The sequence below is a fragment of the Homo sapiens genome, chromosome 7 (assembly GCF_000001405.40).
Source record: "Homo sapiens chromosome 7, GRCh38.p14 Primary Assembly".
NCBI classification, from domain to species: Eukaryota; Metazoa; Chordata; class Mammalia; order Primates; family Hominidae; genus Homo; species Homo sapiens.
Window position 1 is genome coordinate 94492155 of NC_000007.14, and position 22725 is coordinate 94514879.

The 22725-nt window shown below is 39.7% G+C and overlaps 1 protein-coding gene and 1 pseudogene across 9 annotated transcripts in view, besides 5 other annotated features; both read left to right on the plus strand.

The window, feature by feature from the left end:
• On the plus strand, positions 3145 to 3250 carry RNU6-1328P (RNA, U6 small nuclear 1328, pseudogene; annotated as a pseudogene).
• Positions 16940 to 17928: an enhancer, noted in NCBI's record as "H3K27ac hESC enhancer chr7:94138406-94139394 (GRCh37/hg19 assembly coordinates)". NCBI's record gives its function as "activates a minimal SCP1, AML or CMV promoter by ChIP-STARR-seq in primed H9 embryonic stem cells {active_cell/tissue: H9 hESC(primed)}" and the evidence as "EXISTENCE:reporter gene assay evidence [ECO:0000049][PMID:30033119]".
• Positions 17449 to 17668: a silencer, noted in NCBI's record as "silent region_18378". NCBI's record gives its function as "represses an Ori minimal core promoter by ATAC-STARR-seq in GM12878 lymphoblastoid cells {active_cell/tissue: GM12878}" and the evidence as "EXISTENCE:reporter gene assay evidence [ECO:0000049][PMID:35858748]".
• Positions 17655 to 22725, plus strand: part of CASD1 (CAS1 domain sialic acid O acetyltransferase 1) — a 124364-nt gene continuing 119293 nt past the window's right edge. For all 9 annotated transcript variants that reach the window (XR_007060138.1, XR_007060140.1, XR_007060139.1 and 6 more), the window contains exon 1: positions 17655 to 18063. Coding sequence is in view for 3 of the 9 variants with exons in the window: in XM_011516495.3 (XP_011514797.1) it covers positions 17931 to 18063 (133 nt within the window). In the remaining 6 variants the exon portion in view is untranslated. The remainder of the gene's footprint in view (positions 18064 to 22725) is intronic.
• Positions 17709 to 17858: a silencer, noted in NCBI's record as "silent region_18379". NCBI's record gives its function as "represses an Ori minimal core promoter by ATAC-STARR-seq in GM12878 lymphoblastoid cells {active_cell/tissue: GM12878}" and the evidence as "EXISTENCE:reporter gene assay evidence [ECO:0000049][PMID:35858748]".
• Positions 17929 to 18915: an enhancer, noted in NCBI's record as "H3K27ac hESC enhancer chr7:94139395-94140381 (GRCh37/hg19 assembly coordinates)". NCBI's record gives its function as "activates a minimal SCP1, AML or CMV promoter by ChIP-STARR-seq in naive and primed H9 embryonic stem cells {active_cell/tissue: H9 hESC(naive and primed)}" and the evidence as "EXISTENCE:reporter gene assay evidence [ECO:0000049][PMID:30033119]".
• Positions 17959 to 18318: a silencer, noted in NCBI's record as "silent region_18380". NCBI's record gives its function as "represses an Ori minimal core promoter by ATAC-STARR-seq in GM12878 lymphoblastoid cells {active_cell/tissue: GM12878}" and the evidence as "EXISTENCE:reporter gene assay evidence [ECO:0000049][PMID:35858748]".

A 22725-nucleotide genomic window follows, 5' to 3' on the forward strand; every position in this document is an offset into this window, starting at 1 on the left:
TTCTTCATTCATAAGAGTCATATTTGTGGGGTGGGCGTGGTGGCTCACACCTGTAATCCCAGCACTTTGGGAGGCTGAGGTGGATGGATCACCTGAGTTCAGGAGTTCAATACCAGCCTGGCCAATATGGTGAAAGCTGTCTCTACTAAAAAAAAAAAAAAAAAAAAAAAAAAAAAAAATATATATATATATACAAAAATTAGGTGTGCTGGCAGGTGCCTGTAATCCTAGCTACTCAGGAGGCTGAGGCAGGAAAATTGCTTGAACCCAGGAGGCGGAGGTTGCAGCAAGCTGAGATCAAGCCATTGCACTCCAGCCTGGGCAACAAGAGCGAAACTCTGTCTCAAAAAAAAAAAAAAGTAGTATTTGGGTAGTATTTGGGAATCTGGTTTTATGATGTGATCATGTAGTGACCTCTCTCAGGATATAAAGGGGATCAGTTTCTGTTGGGTGAGAGAGAATAAAAAAACCGGTTTGTTAGCCCTCTTTTTATTTACTTGTCTGTTTGACTATTTGTGAGCTCAACTCAATCAGGAAAACATTATATGCTCACTAAAAGTAAAATGTCCCTTTGAGATCTGCACTAGTGATTTTTATGGTTCTGTGTTTACTGTTGACTCATGATTGAGGCTGTAGAACTGAAACTTCAAGTTCTCAGTCTCAGTAAGTCTATCTGTAATTGTGAAAAACCTTTACCTTTCATTGCGTGAGTTTGACATTTTTCCACCTCATGTATGTAAATAAATTAAATTATAAAGTCTCTGAAATTTAAATAGCTTCTCTCTAATTGGTTCATAGAGAAAAATAAGCACTTCTATAACTGGCATTCACAAATTTCTCAGGAAATAAATTGTTCTTTTAAAACTAGGCTTAAAAATTATTATGGAAATCTCAAGATCAGAAGCAGGTTTGTATGAAAACATGAGTTCATATTATAAAGGTGAATCTTTTGAGTCATATATTTTATGAGAAAAAAATAAAATAAAGGTGAATCTTTTACAGATTAGGCTTGTTTGGTAACTTTTGATTTGAAAACAGCTATATGACTCTTCCCTAATTTTACTGATGGGGTTGAACTGGTTTTCTATTGCCACATAACAATATTGCCACAAATTTCTCAACCTTACACCAAAAACATTGATAAACTTACAGTTTCTGTTGATCAATCAAAGCTCAGTCTGCTACAGCAAGGGAGAATACCACCTTGAGAGATCCTAGTAATATCTCAAAATGGGAACGTAAGAGGAGGATATTTATAAGGCTTAGGGATCTAGGCTTCAGTTGTTTAAGTCAGGTTTATCAAGACAAGAAACTAACTGAACTGGAGGACAGTTCATGACTTACAGTTTAGGATTAGGAGACCCAGAAAGGCCAACTTCTTGACATAAGCCTTGATAAGTAATTTTTCTTTTTCTTTTCTTTTCTTTTTCTTTTTTTTTTTTTTTTGAGACAAAGTCTTGCTCTTTTGCCCAGGCTGGAGTACAGTAGTATGATCTCGGCTCACTGCACCCTCCACCTCCTGGATTCAAGAAGTAATTTTCCTGCCTCAGCCTCCCAAGTAGCTGAGATTCCAGGCACCTGCCACCACACCTGGCTAATTTTTTTTTTTTTTTTTTGAGTTGGAGCTTTGTTCTTGTGGCCCAGGGTAGAGTGCAATGGTGAGATTTTAGCTCACTGCAACCTCTGCCTCCTGAGTTCAAGCAATTCTCCTGCCTCAGCCTCCTGAGCAGCTGGGATTACAGGCACCTGCCACCACGCCTGGCGAGTTTTTTTGTTTGTTTGCTTTGTTTTGTTGTTTTTTGTTTTTAGTAGAGACAGGGTTTCACCATGTTGGCCAGGCTGGTCTCAAACTCCTGACCTCAGATGATCCACCCACCTCGGCCTCCTAAAGTGCTGGATCAGGTGTGAGCCAACATGCCCAGCCTTATTTTTGTATTTGTAGTAGAGGCAGGCTTTTGCCACGTTGGCCAGGCTGGTATCGAACTCCTGACCTCAAGTGATCCGCCCACCTCAGCCTCCCAAAGTGCTGGGATTGCAGGCATTAGCCACCATGCCCGGCCCGTAAGTAATTTTTTTAATAAGCTGCCCATTTGGCCAGATAAGCAATCTATTATCCCGATAGAAGAACTGCTTGGCCAGATGAACAAACTATATAGACAAGTTGCTTTTCAGGAATTTCCTGAAGCAAGTAGTAAAGTTATATATTGGTTTATAGCTTTATATTTCTGGGCAAGAATTTCTTAAACAATAAGTAAGTCAAATTAACGTGGGGGAGTCTCTGTTCTAAGTCCCCACATTAAGCTATGTGAATACAAATGGTCTAAATTCTTAAATTAGAATACGGTAAGTTGTAGTTTGTCAACATAACTAAGATCCTTATTTAACTTTAAAACCTGAGTCTATTCTTAGATCAAGTTATTTAATAGATAACTTGGACACCTAGATAATTTTTAAGGGAAATAGAATACTAAAATTTGGTCACCCTACATATTTTGAATATATACACTTTTTTTCTTATAGTGGATATATCTGTTGTTCATGTTAATGACTGTGTTTACCTTACTAATGATTGGGTTTACTCTGATTTAAAGGAGTGAAAAATGGATGTGGGTGACTCTAGGAGGTGATTTCATTAGTTTTGTTAATTTGCTAAACTGTGTATAATAGATACTTCTACATCCCCTTCTAGTTTTCTCTGTGAAATAGAAATCAGCTACTTTGACTGAAAGTTAGAATTTATACAAATAATCAAAGACTATACTAAAGCAATAGTAGCAGAAAATTGTGACTATGAATGCGAGGTAATGGAAATATTTTCTGTCTTAAACTAAAAGGTTTGGTTCTTCTAGAATGCGAAAAAGAATTGTGTAAAACAAATCTTGAATAGATGTAGAAAGTTGTAAGTAGAAAACAATTTATTTGCCTCACTGCAAATAATGAGTTGAAAAAGAAACAATAAAATATACTCAAATGTTGGCAACGTTCCCTCAATTTTGATGAGTTTATTTGTAAGATTGTTTTGTTTTTTAAATAGGACAGGCCAGGAGACGGAGGCTGCAGCCAACCATAAGCATGCCACTGCACTCCAGCCTGGGTGACAAAACAAGACCCTGTCTCAAAAAAATACAACAGAAATAGGGCAGGTTGTTCAGTTAGGCAGCACGTACACTAACATTGGAATGATACAAGAAGGTTAGCATGGCCTCTGCACAAGGATGACACACAAAATCATGATGTGTTCCATTAAAAAAAAATAGAGCAAGGAGCTAATAAATCCTTTCCTGCTAACTACTATATTAATGTAAAACTAGAATTTGGTTTTCTATGTACTAAAATAACAGTGTATCTCAAACTGTTTGGTCTGCTCTTAACAAAGGGTAGTAAAAGTTTATGCCTTTACATTCTATCTGGCCTGACAACATAGCAGAAATTCCATATCCCATCAAAACAGTTTTCTGTGTTTTATGGTCATATTTTCAAGCCCTTGATTTTTAAGCAGCAAAAACTTAAAGTTCTTCATTTGCTGAAAAGCTAAGACTCCTTTCTTTTGTGTCATCATATTCTTGTTATTTAAAATATTGTATTGTCATTTTGATCAACAGATATTGAATTTATTGTTTCTCAGGCACATCTGACCCTATGTTAATAGGTGATCTAAAGTACTCCAATAACTCTTGGTTTTGCTTTCCCACAATCACATCCTAGCTTCGGAAAAATAAAAATTAGAGGATTTTCTTCACACATAAAACTATCTTTGAAATTTCCCATAAGACCCCTAGAAAATCATGAAGCTTTTTTCTTTTGTTTTACAAAAGTAGAGATGTACCAAATAATTGTTTCCTTGACTTTTTTTCTTAGTTCAACACTATTGTAAGAATTGATCAAAATAGTAGTCAAATTAAAGGATACATTTTATTTTTTAAAAATTGTTTTATTATACTTTATGTTCTGAGGTACATGTGCAGAACGTGCAGTTTTGTTACGTAGGTATACACGTGCCATGGTGGTTTGCTGCACCCATCAACACATCACCTACATTAGGTATTTCTCCTAATGTTACCCCTCCCCTAGCTCCCCACCCCGCCGATGGGCCCCAGTGTGTGATGTTCCCCTCCCTATGTCCATGTGTTCTCATTGTTCAACTTCCACTCATGAGTGAGAACATGCAGTGTTTGGTTTTCTGTTCTTGTGATAGTTTGCTGAGAATGATGGTTTCCAGCTTCATCCATGTGCCTGCAAAGGACATGGACTCATCTAAAGGATAAATTTTATAAACAAAATATTACTCACACATTTATTTCTGAGACTGTACACATTACAGAATAAATTGGAAGGCCCTGGATATTTGTCTGTGCTCTCACTGTTCATAGTATTGTTTTACTTATAAGAAAAACACTGATCAAATTCTTATTAAAAAATTATGTATTGCGGCTGGGTGCAGTGGTTCACGACTGTAATCCCAGCACTTTGGAAGGCTGAGGCGGCCGGATCACCAGAAGTCAGGAATTTGAGACCGGCCTGGCCAACATGGTGAAACCCCTTCCCTACTAAAAATACAAAATTAGCCAGGCGTGGTGGTGCATGTCTGTAATCCCAGCTACTCGGGAGGCTGAGGCAGTAGAATCACTTGAACCCGGGAGGTGGAGGTTGCAGTGAGCCGAGATCATGCCATTGCACTCCAGCCTGGGCAAAAAGAGTGAAACTCGGTCTCACAAAAACAAAAATAATAATTATGTATTGCACCTCAACAGAGAATTTTACTGTCTTCAATTTTGACCTCATCATACAAAGCCCAGCCTGGAGTCACATTTGAGAATAAATTGAGATGGGAGAGTTCTTCGGACCCCTTCTCAGGTGACATGGGTGTGGCTCATTTACTCAGCCACCACACAAACCCCACGCAGGAGTGGGAGCATGCAGGCAAGCGGGTGCCGGGGCCTGGGTGAGTGTTTTTGGGCTCCAGCCCCATGGTAGCATCTAGGGATGTGTTACAATTAATGCTCTTTTAGCAGTTGCCATCCATGGACAGCTAAGTGTTAACCAGCTCAGTGGAGAGTTGTGGCAACAGCTTTTTATAACCTGCTCTCTTGGTACCTGGGGTCCTTGTCCCGGCATCCAGGAAGACAGGTCACACAGACTTGAATGATGGTGAATGCAGAGGTTTTACTGATTGATGGAGGTGGCTCTCAGTGGGATAGGGAGCTGGAAAGGGGATGGAGTGGGAAGACAATCTTCCCTTGAGTTTGGCCACCCCCAGCCAAACTCCTCTCTGACCGTCCAGCTGCCTCTTTGATATTCAGATGCTTCTTTTCTTCTCTCCTTCTCTGCTGTGCTGCTCTGCTCCTTTGCCAGAGGAGTTTGGGGTTTTTATGGGTACACAGGATGGGGGCATGGCAGGCCAGGGTGGTTTGGAAAAAGCAATGTTCGGGCAGGAAAACAGCAATAACTATTCTTATTTAGGGTGGCAGTTTCCAGGTGGAGCCTTTGCCAGGGAACCACCATCTTCTACTCAGTATTTCCCTGCCTCCTGTCCGTATCAAAATGACATTTAATCAAATATGGAAAGCTCATCATTAAGGAGCAAGATGTGAAAACAATGACCACAAATTTCACTTCCCACTCCCACTCGAAAAAAAAAAATCAACCTGGTTTATGGTTAAAGCCTCACAAGTGATGAGCAGTATCACTTACTAGTCAGCCAGGGACCTCAAGAGTATTTGGAGACTTCAAGTCGAAAGAAATTCACCAGAATCTATTAGAAATGACAGTGTAATCTTGGTGGATAGAATTTTGGGGCTTGGTTTTGTAGTCTTGGGATAGAAGAAAAAAATAACAGGCTTTTAAAGAATTGAATCCTATATTCCCTAATGAAATTACCTGACAGAATTTAATTATTTGGCCTCTGTAGTTGCTCAATACTGAATGTTCAAGGAAGTATATACAGTTAGTTAATACCTCTTGCTATGTGAACTATGTGAACTATCATGACAAAATATGAAACTAGCTTTATATGTGAGTGATCAAGAATAATCTCCAGAGGTTATTTATGATCACAAAAAGAGGCTGTTAAATAAACGTATTTAAAACTTGGAAATAAGGCAAAAAGGTAGCTTGGCAAAAAGGAGGAAACTTCAATGTCATAGTGTTTTTTTTTTTTTTAAACAGGCTTAACCAAGGATTATTTAATTATCTAAGGGAATGTATCTGAATTTGACTTGGCTATTTTCTGTTAATTAAATATCTGGTCTCTGACACATGTGTTTACTTTTAGATACAGCCAGGAGGAGAACAGATTTAACAGGGACTGCTTGTGCATTTACCAGTGACAATGAAGTTTGAAGGAGGAAAGAATTTTTTATTGAGCATCACCTAGATGTCAAGAACTATACATTACTCATTGAGTCACAGAAACAACTTTGAGTGATAAGTGTGATTATCTTCATTTTACAGAAGGTTGAAGTTCAACAGATAAAATGATTTGCCACATTATTTAGCTAGTAAATGGTAGAGCCAAATGTCAAATCCCAAATGTTCTTCTTCCAAAACCTACACTCTTTTAGCCATATTATTCTACCCCCGTAGAAAAACCTTTTTTCTAACGACCACAAAGTTATACCTGCCACTTCTCCAAACTGAAAATGATATCTAAATGTCAACAAAAAATATACTAGTTAGAAAATACAAAATTTCATGATGGGAAATGTAAGTATATGTTCTGTGTGCATAGAGTAAAAGATCTATGAGTCATCTGCTACAACCCACTAAGTGTTTAGTTGAAAATTGTTCTTTATCATCTAGCTAGATAGCAATTAGAAGTGTGAGAGACAAAGTATCCTTTAAGAAAAATTGGCTAAAGAATAAATCATTTAAAGTGCTTTACAGACATTACCTAATATATTTTCATACATCCCTGTGAGCTACACAGCCATACACAAAAAGCAATCCTAATTTGTTTACAGGCATTCAAAGGTGATGCAATGTAAAGTGGAAGGCCAAGATGCTGCTAACAGCATTACGCTTACCTTAGGCCTACGGCAGTGTTGGTCATTTCAGCTGAACACCACTAAGTTAATTAACCTCTATTTTTTTTCTTAACCTGCTTAGTGAAAATGTCAGTACCATTTGGGCCATGAGGCTTTGCAACCAGGCAGGTCATTTAGTTTTTTTCTCCACTTCCAACTGCCCCTCTTTGACCTGATCAATGATTAACACCCTTTATTTTAGAAACAATAGGAGATATTCATATTTATCATCCCAAAGGGACCCCTTCCATGCCTTTGAAAAACCAGTGAACTGAATTTTAGCTAATTTAAACTAACTATTCTACAGAAAGGAAGATTGGTCTTAGTTTTTTAGAAAGACCCAAGACAAAATTCAATTGTTACACTACCATTCCATCCCCACTCACTCAATTTTTTTAAAACTCATTGGTGAAAACTGTTGATTTCATTTGAAAAAAAATGCAACTTGGGAATGGAGTTGGAGATGTACTTTTCGTATTTCTGTCCCGGGAAAAAAAGTATTAAGAGTGGTGGGGTAGGGCAGAGTTTCATATATGAAAATTTAATATGTATTATATTTTCTGGGTTTTAACTTTTAAACATACTATATAATGTAAATAAGAATTAACTGAAGAAATATTCTGATAATCATTCCTAAGGTTGTTCCTACTTCAGTCTTTCCCGTTAGTAAGTAGTCTCTGAAGCCATTGTTTAAGCCAGAAAAAGAAATCACCTTTGATTCTCCCTCTCTCTAATCCATCACATGCAATCCATCAGCAAGTTATGTCAATTTTACTTCTAAAATCCAATCTGTCCACTTTTCCCTCATTTCCTCTGCTTCCACCTTTGCCCAAGCTATTAAAACAAATGAAGCCACCAAGGTAAGGAGTGAAGAGTTTTCTCAGAAGTACAAATATTTGGTAAACACTACAATTGGTAGCAGAAGGAAACAAGATAGAAGAGAAGCTAAAAAGGTGGGAAAAACAGAACATATTTGTTACAGGAAGAGAATTTAAACAGAAAGAACCAGTAGACCTAAGGTTGAATCTCAAGTGCTTCCAATCTGAAGACAAATAGGACATGTGTGAATTTGGGGTGAATTTGGGATGTGTTAATTATATTGAAGACTACTATACCATGTATAAAACTTTTACTTTATACAACTTCCAAATGATTATGGAGAAGATTTCGGAATCATTTTTTTCACTGTGAAAACTTCCAGAATGAAAAAACTACAAACAAAATAATTGACTAATACTTTAGGATTTCTTCATGTTTATTCTCTTGTATCAGTTTTTAAGTAACTGAATAAATACAAATTGGATATTTGGGTTTTATTTCTGTTTTATTTTGGTAGGGGATACTCAACTTGATTGAAGGATCTAAAGGCTGATGTTCAAATTCATTGTGCCAAAAATAAGTCTTTTTCAAGAAATCCAAATAGGAAAAGAGGGAGTTATCTCTCTTTTCTGATGATATGATTCTATACCTAGAAAACCCTAACGATTCTACCAAAAAACTCCTGAACCTGACAAATGACTTCATTAAAGTTTCAGGATACAAAATCAATGCACAAAAAATCAGTAGCATTTCTATATACCAATAACATTCAAACTGAGAACCAAATTAAGAACACAATTCCATTTGCAATAGCCACAAAAAGAATAAAATACCTAGGAATACATCTAACCAAGGAGGTGAAAGAACTCTACAATGAGAACTACAAAACATTGCTGAAAGAAATAATAGATAATACAAACAAATGGAAAAACATTTCATGCTCATGATCAGAAGAATGAATATTGCTAAAATGTCCATACTGCCCAAAGCAATCACTGGATTCAATGCAATTCTTATCAAATTACCAATGTCATTCTTCACAGAATTAGAAAAAACTATTCTAAAATTCATATGAAACCAAAAAAAAAAAAAAAAGCCTGAATAGCCAAAGCAATTCTAAGCAAAAAGAACAAAGCCAGAGGCATCTCATTACCCAACTTCAAGCTATACCACAAGGCCGTAATAACCAAAACAGCATGGTACTGGTACAAAACCAGACACCTAGGCAAATAAAACAGAATAGAGAAGCCAGAAATAAAGCTGCACATGTACAACCTACTGATCTTCGAAAAAGTCAATGAAAATAAACTATAGGGAAGGAACACCGTATTCAATAAATGTTGCTGGGGAAACTTGCTAACCATATGCAGAAGAATTAAACTCAAACCCTACTTCTCACCATACACAAAAATTAGCTCAAGATGGATTGAAGACTTAAATGTAAGTCCTCGGCCTATAGAAATCCTAGAAGAAAACCTAGAAAATACTCTTCTGGACATTGACCCAGGCAAATAATTTATGACTAAGTCCTTAAAAGCAAATGCAACAAAAACCAAAATTAAGTGGTACCTAATTAAAGAGCTTCTGCACAGCAAAAGAAAGTAGCAACAGAGTAAACAAGCAACCTACAGAATGGGAGAAAATATTTGCAAACTATGCATCTGACAAAGGACTAACATCAAGAATCTATAAGGAACTTAAACAAATAAACAAGAAAAAAAACCCACTAAAGAGTGGGCAAAGAACATAAATAGACACTTCTCAAAAGACATAAAAGCAGCCAACAAACCTATAAAACATGCTCGACATTACTAATTATCAGAGAAATGCAAATCAAAACCACAATGAGATATCAGCTCACACCAGTCAAAATGGCTACTACTAAAAAGTAAAAAAATAACAGATACTGGTGAGGTTGCAGAGAAAAGGGAACATGCAAGTACTGTTAGTGGGATTGTAAATTAGTCCAGCCCCTGTGGAAAGCAGTTTTGAGATTTCTCAAAGAACTAAAAATAGGATTATCATTCAACTCACCGATTCCATTACTGGGTATACACCCAAAGGAAAGTAAATCATTCTACCAAAAAGACACCTGCACTCACTTATTTATCACAGCACTATTCAAAGACATGGAATCAACATAGATGCCCATCAATGGTGGATGAATAATGAAAATGTGATACATATATACCATGAAATACTACACAGCCATGAGAAAGAACAAAATCATGTCCTTTGCAACAACATGGGTGCAACTAGAGGCCAATATGCTAAATGAAACAGAAAACCAAATACTGCATGTTCTCACTTATAAGTGGGAGCTAAACAGTGGGTATACATGGACATTATGATGGGAACAATAGACACTGGGGACTCCAAAAGCCAGGTGAAGGATGGAAAAACTACCCATTGGTTACTATGTTTACTATTTGGGTGATGAGTTCAATCAAAGCCCAAACCTCAGCATCATGCAATATGTCTACGTAACAAAACTGAACATATACCTGCTGAATTTAAAACATTTTTAAATAAAATAATAATTTTTTAATTAAAAATGTCTTTTTTAGTCTTCCAGAGGAAATTGTTCTCTCATCTAGGCAAACAAAAATTTAGCTTGGAAAATCTTTCTTTACCTCATAATCTTAAAAATGTTTACATGAAAAGTGTCTAAATTTCCTCCAATATTCTTCATTAAATTATCTTTAAACTGTATTTAAGAAATATCATGCCAGGTGCTGTGGCTCACTCGGGTAATCCCAGCACTTTGGGAGGCTGAGGCAGGAGGGTCGTTTGAGCCCAGGAGTTCAAGACCAGAGTGGGCAACATGATGAAACCCTGTCACTACAAAAAATACAAAAATTAGCTGGGCATGGTGTCCTGTGCCTGTGATCCCAGCTAGTGGGGATGCTGAGGTTGGCGGATCACTTGAGCCCAGGAGTTCGAGGCTGCAGTGAGCTGTGATCACATCACTGCATTCCAGCCTGCGCAACAGAGCAAGATTGTCTCAAAAAAAAAAAGAAATATTAATATTTACTAAATTCAAGGCAGTGATCCCCAACCTTTTTTGGCATCAGAAACCAATTTCGTGGAAGACAATTTTTCCATGGACCGGATGGGCAGGGCGGATGGTTTCTGGATGAAAATATTTCACCTCAGATCACCAGGTATTAGTTAGATTCTCATAAGAAACACGCAACCTAGATCTTTCCCATGCACAGTTCACAATAGGATTCGTGCTCCTATGAGAATCTGATGCCTCCACTGATATGACAGGAGGCGGAGCTCAGGTGGTAATGCTCCTTCACCAGCTGTTCACCTCCTGCTGTGCAGCCTCGTTCCTAACAGCTCACAGACTGGTACTGGTCCATGGCGCAGGGAGTGGGACACTCGTATTAAAAGATAATTTTTAAAAGAAAATATTATGACTTTCAAACAGATATAAAGTGAACATGTGTCGAAACTTTTATTTATTTAGCTCATTAATTATATTAGGGAACCAGTAAGATGTAACAACTGGTTTAAAGAAAAATTCAAAGAACCACACTTATATAGGTCAGCAGAAATTGTGAAATAAATTTGCTTAATAGATGTAAAATTTGAAATCTGTTCAATATCCAGAGGGCAATAGTCAACTGACTGTTACTACAAGTATTAGATAATATAGTATAATTATGTACTATAGTTATTTTATAGCAATGTAAAATAAAGACAAGATATACAAACCCCCAATAGAATCAGATAATCTGGACAATGCCTAATTTTCCACTGATGACAACCATATTTTTTTCTCAATTTCTAAGTTTTTCACATGTTTTCCCTACATATAACAAGGACTAAGTCCCTGTGCCCCAGTGTATAAGTCTGGAGGGAGGGGGATGAGGAAAAAGGAAAATAAATGCAATAACTGAATAGTTTATAAGGTTCAGTGGGATATATGCCAAAAGACAGAACTGATAATTTCCCAATTACACACAATATGCACAAGTAATGAAGATATCTGTTCTGATTGGATGGTGCCTGTGTTGAAGGCATACTTAAGCATATATAGAAACAAAATGCTATGAGAAATGAAAAAAGGAAAAGATTTATATTCCCATAAGGAGGTATGGCACAAGTTCATGGAAAAAGCAAAATGTAGCAGGTCTTTAAAAGAGAAAGATTTTAAATAAGTAGAATATAAGATGTGGGTGGGGGGGAAATATTTCAACTTAAGGGAATAGTAAGAGAAAAGCCACATATATAATATTCCTGGCTTGTAGTTTAGCATGGTTTGATGAAATCAGAGCTAAGAGAGAAAGGGAGATTTAGGGCAAATCACGGACAATCTTAAACATGTTGACAGGTTTGTTATTCATTTTGTTCCAATAAAGAACCACCAAAGATTTTGAGCAGGTGCATGACAAGATCAAATATAAGTCTTAGACAAAAAAATTCTAGCAGCAATTGGAAAAAAAGAGATTGAAAAGTGAGAAACCAGAGGCAAGGAATCCAGTAGAGCCTGTTGCAATGGTCAGGATACAGCCTGAACCAGAGCATTCTGGAGAGGAAAAGAAAAGCTTTGGGGAAGTCAGAGTGAATAGGATATGTTGATTCATTAGATAAGTCATTCCAATTTTTGTGACTGTGTGTTCACATTCGTTAAAAATTGGAGCATGCACTCCTCCAACTTTTGCATATTTAGTTATAAATTATATACTGCTCTACTAATGTACTAATATAATACATGTAATTTGAAACATTCATACATGCTCACAAACTTTTTTTTGCTCTCAAAGAGCAAAGATTTAATTCACGTTTTGGGTGCTTAGTTTCTAACTGTCTTGCTAATGTTGATGGCTTTGTATCAGTAGTAATTCTCAAAGTACTGTACATTTACAGCAAGGTCCATAAATTCTTATTTCAAACAGTTTTGGAAATTTTACTTTTTTCTGATATCTTACAGATTTAAGTGGCCATGATATATATCATACATATGATATATATATATACACATACATACATACTTTTTTTTAACCATATAATGTAACTAATAAAGAGTTGAGTTTTTTGGTTTTTGTTTTTTTTTCTGAGACAGGGTCTCACTCTGTCACCCAGGCTGAAGTGCAGTGGTGTGATCTTGGCTCACTGCAGCCTTGACCTCCTGTGCTCAGGTGATCCTGCTACCTCAGCCTTCTGAGTAGCTGGGACTACAGGCATGCACCACTACACCTGGCTAATTTTTATCTTTTTTGTAGAGACAGCATTTCACTATGTTGCCCAGGCTGTCTTGAACTCTTGAGCTCAAGCACTCTGCCCACCTTGGTCTCCCAAAATGCTGGGATTACAGGCATGAGCCAGCATGCCCAGCATAAAGGGTTTTTGTGTTTTTTTTTTTTTTTTTTTTTTTTTTTGAGATGGAGTCTCACTCTGTCACCCAGGCTGGAGTACAGTGGCATGATCTCAGCTCACTGCAACCTCTGCCTCCCAGGTTCAAGCGATTCTCATGACTGAGCCTCCCGAGTAGCCGGGACTACAGGTGCAGGCCACCATGGGTGACTAATTTTTGTATTTTTAGTACAGAAGGGGTTTCACCATGTTGGCCAGACTGGTCTTGAACTCCTGACCTCAAGTGATTCACCCATCTTGGCCTCCCAAAGAGCTGGGATTACAGGCTTGCACACCTGGCCAAAACCCTATACTTTAGATGAGTAGAAGGCAGAGTAGAAAGAAGATGAGTCAAAGATTAGCAGAAATGACTTGAAGGATAGTGTGCCAATGAACTAAAGGGAAAATTAAAAGGATAAACAAGGTTTAGAAGGAAAATAAAACTTGTTTTCCAACATATTGAGTCTGAGGTACTATGCGAGTCATTGAAGCTGTCCCTTAGGTATATGAAAATGAGAGGACCATGAGAAGCCAGGTTGCACGTGTGGATCAGGAGTGATAGTTGAGGCCAACTTACAATTTAGGTTTGCTAAGAAGAGAAGTAGGCAAATGAGAAACCTGAAAAGCGCTTTTAAAAAGGGGCTTTGAGAAAGGAAGAGGAATCTTCGGAGATGCATGAGAAAGGTAAGAGGAGAGATTTGAATAAAGCAAATATTTCAAGAAAGCTGCACAGCCAAGAAGGATAAAGCTAAGATAAATATGTTGAATTTGGTAATTTAGGATGTGGCCCTCATTTGAAAGAGTGGTTTAAGTAAGTAAAGTAGTAGGGACATAAGTTAGTTTTCATGTAAAGAACTGAAAAATAGTAAAAACAATTTTTTTAATGGGGAAAGTAACCACAAACTGTTCCTTCAGAAGTTTGGTGGTGAAAAAAGAGAGATTGTGTGGTGCATTAAGGAAGATAGGATGAATTTGGCAAACAATGAAGAGAGATAAATTAAAGGTAGAAATAAGGAAGGGGAACTTAGGAGACCAGATTCTCAATGAAATGATATTGGTATAATCATACACACAGGTGAGAGTGACAGTTTTGGGAAAGGGGAGGAGGAATTTTTCTTTGAATCAGAAGGGAAAAGATAAAGTGTAGCAGTTTGTTTTAGAGTAATACATAGGGCCGGCTTTGTGGCTCATGCCTGTAATCCCAGCACTTTGGGAGGCCGAGGCGTGTGGATCACCTAAGGTCAGGAGTTGGAGGCCAGCCTGGCCAGCACGGTAAAACCCCGTCTCTACTAAACATACAAAAATTAGCCAGGCGTGGTGGTGCACACCTGTAGTCCCAGCTACTCGGGAGACAGGCAGGAGAATCATTTGAACCTGGGAGGCAGAGGTTGCAGTGAGCCAAGATCACACCACTGCACTCTAGCTTGGGCGACAGAGTGAGACTCCATCTCAAAAAATAAAAATAAAAATAAAAATAATGCATAGGTTGAGAGAGTTTCTGTCAGATGGTTTCTGTCTCTCTCTTTTTAAAATATTATTAAGGTGTGAGGTAACATGCTGAGCATTAGTAAACATTCTGGATAGCTCAGGGGTCAGGAAATAAACGTGGAGCCACTAACTAGTTTTTAGCAGGAAATGACATTACGAGATTTTAATTTAAGAAAGTTCTGTCTGGTAAGAGGTATGGCAGAATGGCAGTAGGGTTGGATTTTCGAGTGACCTGAGAAAGACGAGTAAAAGGATAAGAAATGCAGGCAAGAAATCATCCCTTAACCAAGGTAACAGCAAGTGGATAGAGAGGGGGCAACACAGTTGAGAGTTATTTAGAAGAAAGCAAGGATGACTCAAACACTTGCTTGGACGGCTGGGTTAATGATGAAAACTTAGGCATAAAGGTTGAAAGTAGATAAAGGAGAAGGAAGGTGATGAGTTTGTTTAGGAAATGATATATATTAGGTACCTGAAGGATATCCTAGTAGGCAGATGGTTCTTACAGCATGAGGATAGATAAATATGGACTGACATATCAGGTGTGTGTGTGTGTGTGTGCGCGCGCGTGTGTATAAGGAAGGTGATCCCATGGCAGTGGTGGGACCACTAAATAATGACTAAGTGATCCTAAGGTCACTTAAAAACAGCAAGAAGTGGCTGAAAACAAAGTCTCCGCTCTGTTTTAGATGGATACCAAATAAGGAAGAATGGTCAACAATGTCAGGTGCCACAAAATGGTCCAGGAAGATAAGGAATATAAAGTGTCCCTTGGATTTAACAAGTAGTCATACCACACAGCCTTGGTGAAGAACAATGAAATGGCTGAAGAGAGAATGCTAATTGAGCCAGTGAAGGCAGAGAGTCAACACTGCTCTTTCTAGATGTTTGCCAGAGGAGGAAAGAGTTGATGAGGTAAACATGCAGGAACAGAGTCCATGGGTGTTTTTCATTAAAAAAAAATTTTTTTTGGAGGAAGGCAAACAGCAAGGTGATAGGGAGAATTGGAAGACACAGAAAAAGAATGATTTGCATGGGGATAACTGATGGAGGAATCAACACCCTCAAGAAAGGAGGATAAGAAAAGATTCAGAGCAGAGGTAGAGAGATTGGCCTTAAACTTGAGAGAAGAAAAAGGAGGTTCACAAGCTATTTACAGTATTTAAGAAAGCCTTCTGGAAATTGCAATTAATAGAATGTCAAGTTTCTTTACTTTTTGCAGGCATTAACTCAACCCTTTGGGTTAACACTGGTTATTGCATGCTGATCAGAAATTCTAATTTGCTGGTAATGACATCATAGAAATGTCTAGGATGTGATTGGCAGACCATATATTGTTGGCAGAGTTATCTGGTTTTTACAATACCCAATTCTTACAACATGTGATCAACCTCTGATCAGAATGACAGCCAAAATTAAAAGACTATTTGCAGGGAACAGTGCCTAAGTGTTTGTACACTTATTTAACTTTATTGCTTATTAGCATTACATCCATGACAGTGATGTATGTGATTTCATTTAAGTGACAAAATCTTTCAAGATATAAAGTCCATGGATGAAAACATAATAAAGAGTCCTTGGATGAAGAGAATGGGAATGAGTAGACAAGATCTCTACAGTCCCTTCATATCTAATATTCTATAATTTTAAGAGGGGCCTATAAGCACAAGTTCAGGAATGGCTAAATGGGAAAGTTGTAAAGAATACTTGACAACACCCCAACTAAACAATGACTCACTCTAAACAAGGCAAGGCAAGTAGAATGGCAAGCAATGTAAATAACCATTCCCATCTGGAAGGCAACAAGAAAAACCATTTAAAAAAGGTGGGGTGGGAGCGAGAGGAGAGTAGGGATAACAATGCTTTATTAAGGAAATGGAGTGCTGGCTTTATTGAGAATCACAAAACATTAACCAACGTTAGTAGCGGGGATGATTGTCATAAGCACATTAAGAAAAATTTTTTTTGGCTAGGCTTGGTGGCTCATGCCTGTAATCCCAGCACTTTGGGAGGCCGAGATGGGCAGATCATTTGAGGTCAGGAGTTCGAGACCAGCCTGACCAAAATGGTGAAACCCCCGTCTCTATTAAAATACAAAAATTAAACGGGTGTGGTGGCGGGCGCCTGCAATCTCTGCTACTCGGCAGGCTCAGGCAGGACAACCATTTGAACCCAGGAGGGGGAGGCTGCAGTGAGCGAAGATCACGCCACTGCACTAGAGCTTGGGCGACAGGGTGAGACTCCCTCTCAAAAAAAACGAATTTTTTTGGCACATCGACCTAGCCAAACTTGCGTAAATACAAGTGAGAGTCAGACTCTTTTCTCATCAACACCTACACTAAGTTAGGCTCCTTCTGTACCTTCCATTCGGAACTTTGGTGTACTTTCGCCCACCAGAACTGGGCAAACTGAGGACATTAAAAAAACGGTTTAAGAGAAACTGGCCAGAGCGGTGAGTTAAGTGTTAAGACTGGTTTCACTCCTGGGTTGGATGCCAGCAATCCATCGGCCAGCACCATCAACTGGATCCATCAATCCAATCTGGCCAGCACCCAGGGGCAGCCAGACTGACCAGCCAGGCCACGGATAGCCAGACAATAAACGACCTTAGGGTGTCCTTCGCATCCCGCTGGGCGGGTTCTGGCAGTAGAAGGCTGAGAAAGGGGAGTGTTGGGGAAGGAAGGAATGGGACGATGTGTACTTTTCTCCCGGAACTGTAGTTCTATTGCCCCAACCTGGGCTCAGGTAGCGGCCAGTAAACTAGGAGACAGCCCTAAGGCTCGCGTCCGGGCCAGGCGGGTACCCCTAGTACTCTCTCCCCACACCCCCATGGCTCTGCCGCAGCCGCCGCCGCCCGCCGGGGCGCGTGACCCGGTGACCCCGGAGCACTGGGCATCCGGACCCCCCTCGCAGGCGCAGCCGCTATTAAGGCAGGAGGCTAAAGAGGAGGAGGAAGGGGAGGAGACAGGCGTCCAGGGCGCCTGGGGAACCGGCACGGCGGAGCAGCGGCGGCGGGGCTGGGGGGAGGCCGCCGAGTCGGCCGCGGCCGAGGAGGGGCAGGCGGAGGTCGGGGGCGCCGCGGCCGCGGGGTCAGGTTCCCCGGCGGGAGGCGCAGGTGGCGGCCTGGGGAGCTGGCGGCCGCTCCTCGCCTGGCTGCAGCGGCGGCAGCCCCAGTGCTGCCCCTGTGCGGCGCCCCTTTCCCGCTCCGCCGCGCACTGTTGTCATGGAGGAACCAAGATGGCGGCTCTGGCCTACAACCTGGGCAAGCGGGAGATCAACCACTACTTCAGCGTGAGGAGCGCCAAGGTGCTGGCGCTGGTGGCCGTGCTGCTGCTCGCAGCGTGCCACCTCGCCTCCCGCCGCTACCGAGGTGAGCGGGCCCTCCCCTCTGCCCGGGCAGGCCGTGGGGGAGGCGGCGACGCGGCGGCTGGAGGCCGCCCCCATCGCCCAACACACGCCCACGCGGCCTTCCGCCGGCCCGGCCCGCGGGGGAGGCGGTTCCCCCAGGTGTCCCCAGCAGCGGCCGGCGCCCGAGGCCAACTGAGTGGACCCCAGTGGGGGCCACCAAAGGACAATGGCTGGTGGTTCTGGGCGCCCCGAGCCGCCCGCGCTGGGGTCGGGGGCGCCAACCCTGGACCTGGCCAAAAGTGCTGCTGAGGTCCGGCTCCTGAGCGGTCTGGGTTCGGGGAGACGCTCCAGATCAGGGGCTCGCGTGCAGGAAGTCGGACAGGCGGTCCTTGGGGGCAGCCCGGGGCGCATGAAGCCCAAGGCCGCCCTGCAAGGGGCACCGCTGCCAGCAGTGGGGTCGCAGGTCCTGCCTCTTAAGGGTCCGGCTCCTTAGCCTTTGTTTAATTTTGCCTCTGCCCTGTAACACCCAGTCTGGGCTGTTGGACAGCGGCAAGGGCCGCCCCCATTTTCCTTTGCCAAAAGGGCGACAGCTGGCAAAAGATGCCTGTGGCCAAATGGAAGAGGTGCCACCCAGCTTTTGTGATGCAGAAACGTTTAAAGGCTTCGGAGTGCACACTTTTTACAAAGTTAAGGCACCAGAGCAGATTTTTGGAAGGAAGTTGTGGGTTGACAGGCGTAAAGGTGGGCAGTTGAAAGCAAGTTGTAAGCACTTTGAAAGCAGGCCTTGGCCATGGGTTTTGAAATTGGTGTAAAGGGGAAAAGGAAATATGACCTGATTTGAGAATGAATTATCTTTCAGTAATCAAGGGATATTTACTTCTCCTTGCTGATTGATTGTTTTTTTTCCTTTGTAAAAATGTCACTGGGAGAGAGGCTGACAGGCAGAGGGAAATTAATAATGATAGGATCTTTTATTTTTGGCTCTTAATACTATCAAAGCCATTATCTGGCCAGCTCTTGGTGACTGTGAGATTAATCAGTCAAGATGTAATGTGTAATGGACAGGTGCAAATTAGCGCTGTGCCCGTTTAAATTTACACCTACTTTGGCAAAATATCCATAAACGGGTTGTTGGAGTCTGCGCTGTATTCTCATCCCAGGAGATCTTTCAATTTTGGTCAGTTTTGCTGCTTTATTTCTTCCAACTCTTGAGAATTAAAAATATTGTACTCTAGAGCCATACTGGGTGAACAGCTTTTAGTATACTAAATTGATTTTAAAAATTAGATTCTTTATAACCTTTTGGCCTCTCTCCAGCTCTCTCCAGATCACAGCCATACGACCTTGCAAGGCCTTGGTTTATCTACAATCATGTAAAACTAGCAATGTTGATGCATTGATTTGTGGTGGTTTTGAGGAAATATTTCTTTTAACTACTATTAATCATTTTATGCCAATTTGGTATAAAAGAACAGTAATTTAATTCAATTTATGTAATGGTAGTAGAGAGAAATTTTATAACTACAGTACTATTGTCCTAAGATAAATAAACATCTAGTCCCCTTCCTTTTATTTTTTTGTGCTTTTTATCTTTTGATAACCTTGGACTACTATTATTTTTAGATTATAGATTTCATCTTATCAAGATCTGTCATCAGCAGGGAGAATAGAATGTCAGATGGGGACTTATGAGTCAGTGTAGCAATCTGGGATTGTTTATAAAGCCTTCTCCAGAAGTAAGTCATCAGTTTCCATAGGTACTTCAGTGCCTTGAGTGTGAAGCATACACCTGGTGAGTGTACTTGCCCAGACTGAATGTCAAGAATTTGAGCTGAAGACTGGGAAAAATAAACATCTTACCAGGAATATCCTCATGCTTTGGCAGTATCAAACTGAGTCAGGTGCAATGCCCTTCACACAAAGATAATCATACATTTGACTCACATTATAACTCTTTAGGACAGAGGTGGCCAATCTTTTGGCTTCCGTGGGCCCCATTGGAAGAAGAAGAACTGTCTTTGGGCCACACATAATATTAACACTCATGATAGCTGATGAGCTTAAAAAAAATTGCAAAAAATCTCGTATCATTTAAAGAAGGTTTACGAATTTGGGCTGCATTCAAAGCCATCCTGGGCCTCCAGCAGCCCAGGCCATGGCTTGGAAAATCTTGCTTTAGAATAAGAAAGGATCTTACATTAGATGAAGGAGATTAGGCTGTGTATTTGGATTTTGAATGTGTGAGTATGAGTGTGCTGAGGCAAGGTAGAGTGAATGCAGTTTGGATATACATATTCAGTATCTCTTGCTTTACAAACTACCGAAAGTAAAGGAAAGAATTACCCACTACAGAAAGTAAAGCTTGGCGAATACTGTGTGCTAACGTTGAGCACTTATATGTCAGGGACTGTTCTACTAAAGGTTTTACATGTTTTAACTCATTTTGTCTTTATAACCATTCTATGAGGTAGATACAATTACCATATTTCACTCCTCTCCACTATTTTTAACATCTTTGTAATCAGGGTGAGTCTTTAAAACTTTGATTGCATGTCAAAGTTTAATTGGTAACATTTTTTTCTTACTGTGACATAAAATAATCATGTGTCTAATAATCAGTGGTCTTAGATTCAGTGAATTACAGTATTATTTCCATTTTAAATATGAAGCATGACAGATTAAATTGCCTAAGGATACACAGTGACTGAGCTAGGATTTAGATCCCAGTTAGTCTGTCTCATGCCTTATGTTACAGTCTGTCTTTCTCAGAACTTCTTAGACAGTGGGGAGTATAGAAGATAGAGGGAGAAAGCATTTTCCAGGGAAGCATGGGTTAAACAACTTAGAAACAGTAATTCAGGCCGGGCGCAGTGGCTCACGCCTATAATCCCAGCACTTTGGGAGGCTGAGGCGGGTGGATCACCTGAGGTCAGGAGTTCAAGACCAGCGTGGCCAACATGGTGAAACCTCTTCTTCTTCAATTAGCTGGGCGTGGTGGCGGGCACCTGAATCCCAGCTGCTCAGGAGGCTGAGGCAGGGAGAATCACTTGAACCCAGGAGGCAGAGGTTGCAGTGAGCCAAGATCGCATCCCAAAAAAAAAAAAAAAAAAAATCAACTTTATTGTACCAGCTAAGAGTTTTTCTATTTTTTTTTCCAGTCAGGAGGTAATTTTCTAAAAGTTGTTTGTGTAAAGCTTCAAAATCTGACCTGAGCCTACTTTTTGTTACCTATGTTTTTTCCTTATTTTCCCCAAATTCCAGGTTCACAATCTAAACGTGCTTTGCCCGTTTATACGTCTCACAGTTATTTGATTTTCTCTGCCTGCAGTGACTTCTCTCTTGAAAGAAAATATAGGTTTTTCCTTCAAGGCCTGGTTCAAATGTCACACCCACAGCAGTAGGAATTAGCAGTTCAGTTCTGCCAGCAACTTACACATACTTATTGTGTTGTATTGTAATAATTGGTATCTGCCTACCCACACAAACTGTTGAGCTTCCAAGAGTATCTTACTCATCTTTAAACCTTTAAATCATCAGAGCCTAACACACAATAGGAAATCCTTAAATAACTGTGGATAAATAGATTTCAAAGTCCTTATTTCCTTTTATGTTCTTTTGTGGCTTTAATTGAATTTCATGTTCTAATCTCAATTTTAGAAAGTAGGCATTTTAAAATTATTAATATTATTTTCACATAATAGAATGACATTTTGAAAATAATTACCATTTTAACTATATTTTTTCCAAATGTTATCAATTTCTAACATTATGAATCTCAAAATGTCCATTATTAGTTTGATTATAGGTGTCATTTCTGTGACAAATGGCCAATATCTGTAGCCTTAAGGATAGTTCCAATCTGGATAAATTTTAATTTTTTAAATTGATAAAGTTAACTTCAAATGCCTTAATTTTGTTGAAATCAAATTCTTTTTTTTTTCACTAAGCATATTAAATGCCAGTGCTAAATGATATTGGATGTTCTGGAGAAAAATAAGTTGAAAGCTTCAGAAATTAGAGCAAGAAAGCAGCAGCTCTGGGTCTCTTAGCCTTTTCTTTCTTTGACTGTTAGAAAGATCCTGATCTTTATGATACCTCTTGTAATGAGACACTCCTTGCTTGTCTAACGATAAATCTTAATGGTGATTTTCAGCACAGGCTAAAGTATAACTTGCTGTATCTTAGGCAAACAAAATATTCTATGGACTATACTGTAAACTTCATGATCTCGTATTTTAATGGTTGGTAGTAGGAAACAGTTTTAGCAGGATAATTCGGTCTAAATTTAGGTGCAGTGTGCCAGAGATATTCTCTTCAAAGGAAAACATAAGTTGGGGTTTATATGGGCCATCAGATGTTTCCTTTAGTTGTTACATTTTATTTTTCAGTTTGTTTTTGTTTGTTTGCTTTTAAGTATTTTTCTATCACAGAAAAATCATGCATAAAATTCTGAGATTGTAGATTGACAAACCAGAATGCTTATACTTAAGATAAGAGAATAAAGAGGAAGACAGCCATTCATCCAGATAATCTTGGTGTTGGAGATAGCTGAAGTAGATAGTCCTGTCTCTTAGTTTCTTTGTGTGTGTGTGTGTTTCTTGCTTGATTTATCTGAACGCCTGGCAACATTTATCTCACATTAGTTGTGTTAAAATAGCTATCAAAATTATACTAGACAATTGAA